The 5,380-nt window shown below is 35.2% G+C and overlaps 1 annotated feature.

The window, feature by feature from the left end:
• Positions 346 to 640: a silencer, noted in NCBI's record as "tiled region #143; HepG2 Repressive non-DNase unmatched - State 24:Quies". NCBI's record gives its function as "represses a minimal TATA promoter and a strong SV40 promoter by Sharpr-MPRA in HepG2 cells {active_cell/tissue: HepG2}" and the evidence as "EXISTENCE:reporter gene assay evidence [ECO:0000049][PMID:27701403]".

Here is a 5,380-nt window from a genome sequence, read left to right as displayed (position 1 = left end):
TTAGCCATTGATGTCAAAGGAATACAGGAGTTCAGAATGATTCTGGTAAGAAGTAAAGGAACTTAAAATTTCCATCTCAGCCTCATAATTTGGAAGTAAACTTCCTCACTCCACGGTGCAGTCCTATTTCTTTCCAGTTATTATTAAAGTTCTTTCCTCTGTCAATCAACCTCACTTCAGTTGAATGTAAGCCATGTGGATTTCATCAGGACCTCTATTATAAACAGAATATCAAGGAAACTATTCTGTTAGGTTTTAAAATATAAACATTGTATGCTCTGGGGAAGAGTGACCCTGCTATAGTGTGTAAGAAGGGAAATTTGTTTTATGCTCTCTAGCACCTTTGTTGTTAAAAGCGAAATGGTACAATGGCAGTAATAAAGATTAGACTTGATGGTGAGATGATTCTGATGCGCCGTTTACATCACAATGCCAGAGGCCACTGTTGCCACTTCCCAGCAGGAAGAAGAGTGTGTTTGGTTTCCCTCCAGGTAGCTTAGTTTCTAGTAAGAAGTTACTGAGTTTTACCACATTTGGTTTTGAGATTCTGTTCTTGAAGTATGGAATGCCAAAATGCCTTCAGTCATTTTTTTCAGCAGCACAAAATCCCACTGAATATCTCCTAACAGAGAGCACCAGTTAGGCCTTCTATGATTCTTTGCATAACCCTAAGGAGACTCCCCATTCCTAATTTAAAGGAATTAGTGTTCACCCTAGATAAATCAATACTGACCAACAAATGTTAGCATAAACATACACTTATTTATTTATCTGCCCCCTATTTTCAAAAGTAATTTAAGGCAGCTTAAAATAAAAAGAACATAAAACATTGGTATCCTTTCAGTGCACTTTTATTCAATCCTCAATAATAAATTTCACAGTATAAACAGTTATTATTGTTGTTGGTTTTTCTGGGTGATGTCTTTTTTTTCTTCTTAAAATCAATTTACTTACCTAATTTATTAAATGTGTATTACCTTAGCATCTTTCAAAAATAAATTAAACAATAAGAGGTCATACAACTAAAAGTCTCTCTCCTGCTCCTGTTTCATATTCACCTAGTTTCCTCTTCCTAGTCTCAATTCATCCTAACAGGAAATTTCTTATTTATCCTCTGTGAGTTTCCTTATGCATAATAAATATATATGTAAACTAAATACATGTATGAGTATATATGTGTGTACATATACACATGCATACATATACACACATTAATATATAAAAACATTTTTACACCATGCACTTCATTTGACACATGCTTTTTTTCACATATGTATTTTGGAGGTTTTCCTTCCAGATAAGGGAGTGACATTATTCCATTTTACAATTGAATAGTATTACATTACATAGATGTACCTTAATTTATTTAACTAGTCCCTTTTAAAAAGACATTAGGTCACCAAGCAAATGTCCATAACTTTATATTTTCATGCATTTTATATAATTTATGCATGTAATTTTGGTAACTATTGCTGAGTTACTTTCCATAAATGTTTGCCAATTAACACACCAACAGGAGTAAACACACCTGTCTCCCCACATCCTCTCCCATAATGTAATATCAACCTTCTATTGGATTGTTGGTCTTTTTTTTAATTATTTCTAGGAACTCTTGATATATTAGGGACATTGGCTTTTTTTTTCACTGATAGGAATTGTGAGTGGTTTTTTTTTCCTATTGTGTTGTTCATCTTTTTACTTTACCTAAAGAATTTTATTTTGTTTTCACTATGCAGAATATCTTTTTTCTCTTGTATATAATCTAATTAATTTATCAATCTTTGTTTATGGCTTCTAGATCTTAAGTCACACAAAGGTCTTCCCTACTCTAACATTAAAAATGAATTCTGCTACATTTTCTTTTATTACACTTATGGTTTCAGTTTCACATTTAAATTGCTGATCCATTTTGAAGTTTATATGGTGTATGGCATGAAGTATGAATTCAATTTTACTTTTTTCTAGATGGTTACACAGATGCTCCAACAATATTTAATGAAAAATTATTATTGTCATTAATTTGAGATGTAACTTAGACTTTTTCATCTATTTTATTGATCCACCTACGTCTTCTTATGCCCTAATCACAGTTTAATTATTGAAGTTCTATTAATATACTATATTAGCTGGGATGTATAATCTACCCTTATTGTGTTGTTCTTTTAAAATTTTCCTAGCTCTTTTGTGTGTTTGTTTTGTTTTCATTTGAACATTAGAATTACTTTCAAAGTTTAAAAATTTGTGGGCTGGGTGCAGTGTCTCCCGCCTGTAGTCCAGCACTTTGGGAGGCTGAGGCGGGTGGATCACCTGAGGTCAGAAGTTCAAGACCAGCCTGGCCAACATGGTGAAACCCCATCTCTACTAAAAATACAAAATTAGCCAGGCATATGGTGGGTGCCTGTAATCCTAGCTACACGAGAGGCTGAGGCAGGAGAATCGCGTGAACCCGGAACCCGGGAGGCGGAGGTTGCAGTGAGCCAAGATCACGCCATTGCACTCCAGCCTGGGCAAAAAGGACAAAACTCTGTCTCAAAAAAAAAAAATTGTTGTATAATTTCAAGAACATGTTAAATCTATACACTAATTCAGTGTGCTTTGACATCTTGGTAACTATCAAGACTTCCTATCTAAAAACATAGTATACTTTTGTATACTATTTTTGTATTCATGTCTCTTTTGTGCCCTTCAGAAGTATGTTTAGGTTTTATTTATAAGCTGGGCTTGGTGGCTCACAACTGTAATCCCAGCACTTTGGGAGGCCAAGACAGGCTGACAGCTTGACCTCAGGAATTCAAGACCAACCTGGGCAACATGGAGAAACCACGCTACTACAGAAAAATTTTTAAAAACTAGCCAGGTGTGGTGACATGCACCTGTAGTCCCAGCAACTCTGGAGGCTGAGGTGGGAGGATTACTTGAGCCCATGAGGTGGAGGTTGCAGTGAGCTGAAATTGCACCACTGCACTCCAGCCTGAATGACAGAGTGAAACTGTGTCTTGAAAAAAAAAAGTGTTATTTATATATGTTTCCCATACTTGTTGGCATATTTACTCCCAGTTTTTTTTCTATTTGTTACTATAGAAAATGGAATCTTCTATTGTAGTGTCTGAATTTATTAATCACTTATTATATGTCAGGTACACTGGTGAACATTGAGTACATCACAGAACAAAATGGGAAAGATCTCTGCCCTCATGAAGCCTATAGTAGTGGTAGAACCATACAGTAAATAAATAATTATTTGATTATTGGATCAAATAATTACCAATAATCAAATAATTGCAATTATTTAATTATTGGATCAAATAATTACCAATAATCAAATAATTACAAATAAAGCTTGTGAGAAGAAGTAGTGTGACTGCTATAAATGAAAACATAATCTAGACTGAAAGGTCAGATAAAATCTCTCTGAGGACATTATCCTTTAAAGTCAAAAGACATGGTCCAACCTGTATAATTAGGAAAGCTGAATAACTTATTGGGATCTATTTGTGCTCAGCATGACACAATTTACTATGTGCCTTTATATATTTGAACATAAGTTCTTGAAATATCAACATGTTCAGAGAAGAAAAATCCTGGTTGCATTGTCAGTACTCTTCAATATGCCTAGTTCCAGAAATGATAGTCTTAAAGTGAAGTACCTCAATCCTTATTAGGGTTGCTAGATAAAGTACATACTTACACAAATAATTATATTTCATTTATATGAAATTCAAATTTAACTAGGTATCCTGTATTTTTTATTTCCTAAATCTGAGACTCTTAAGCCTTATCAATAAGACAGTAAAAATAAGCAAAAGCATATTTTGTATAAAATAAAACTAAATATATGTCATGCAAAACAGTGAAAATGCATGAATTTTAAGATAAAAATAGGAAAACTTAAGTACGGAGTTGTGGCTTTTTGCAAAATATCTCCTGACCCCTGAGTAGTAGTACCTGTTAATTGTTCTCTTAGGTTGCTAGAGATATTTATGAAGAAAATTTCAAGAATAGCTAACAACTTTGAAAAGGCATCCTTATGGTTTTATATTGTTTGTTTGTGTGTGTGTGTGTGTGTGTGTGTGTGTGTGTGTGTGTGTGTGTGTGTTTAAGCAACAAGATTGGGGAGAAATATACCATAAGAAAAGTGAAGAGAAATTTTAAAATAAATAAATACAGGCCAAATTTATAAATTTGCTTAAAACCGGTTATTCTGCATAGACACCTCAGTAATTGTATCCAGGCATCCAGGCTCATTAACAAGACTGGGACACACCTGTTTGAGATCAACATTCAGGGAAAGGCATGAGGGTGAGATGTTTTAAACTATTTCTATTAAGGGTATGGTTACTCCTTGATGCATACAGGGAAGCACTGAGATAGGTGTTCTGGAAAATAGAGCCGAGGGTTCAGAGCTTAATGGAAGATAATGTTGCATTTGTAAGGGAGGCCCATATAGAAGAGGTGAGACAGATAAACTGATCACAGTAGAGAATGAAGAGGTGAACAGAAGGGAACTAGATGCCAGCTGGTTGAGAAAGGAGGTCAGAAATCACGCCAGTCAACACAGAGATCCTGTGGGGTAGAGGATACTACACAAGTCTGCAGTATTTTCTACTGAGCTTTGAGTGGATCCTTAGGGGAAGGGCTAGGAAAGACAAATTCAGACAACCTGGGCTAAACCGACCTCAACTGAACTAGGTAACATTTTAACTGAAATGCAATGTTTATGGTCTCAGGTACAATCAATAACATGAATTTCTCTAAATGCATAAAATAATCTGCTCTCTTACACAGCATAATCTTGTTTATATGACTAATTTACCTAAATTCTTCAAAAACTAGGCAGAAATTCACCACATTCCAGCCTTGTCTAAATGATTATAGTTTGTGAGTGTAATGCAGTTAACACTTTTTTTTACTCCACTATCTGGCTCTCTTGCTCTCCCCTTCATTCTAAGAGGCAGCAATAGTCTATTTTGCTACTTCTAAGTCTACCATCCTCTTTTATAAATTCAAGTAGTTGTGTTGGGCTGCCCCAGGATACAGTTATACTGTATCATTTTCATTTTCATACTGTTTCATTTTCACAAATGAAGGAAAGTGATGTTTTATTGAACAAGAAGCCATGTCAGTCTGTGATGGTCAGGATTTATTAGACTCTCATGCTGGTTATCTCTTCCTGCATACTTGGAATTGAACTTGCATTTGGCTGTAAATGACTTCCCTTGATGTTATTCCTGCAGAATCCCTAAAGCCAGGTGCTCCTTTGATTCAGAAAGTTCAAGAAGTCAGTATTCTTGAGCCACCTTTCAGGAGGGGTAATCCCTGTTTGCCTCCTTCCATCCAGAATATGTGAAGCCAGGCAATGCTACTCAGGCAGATTAGAGAC

This window comes from Homo sapiens, chromosome 6, assembly GCF_000001405.40.
Source record: "Homo sapiens chromosome 6, GRCh38.p14 Primary Assembly".
Lineage (NCBI taxonomy): Eukaryota > Metazoa > Chordata > Mammalia > Primates > Hominidae > Homo > Homo sapiens.
The sequence above is the reverse complement of the archived record's forward strand: the minus strand, read 5'-3'. Positions and strand labels throughout refer to the sequence as shown.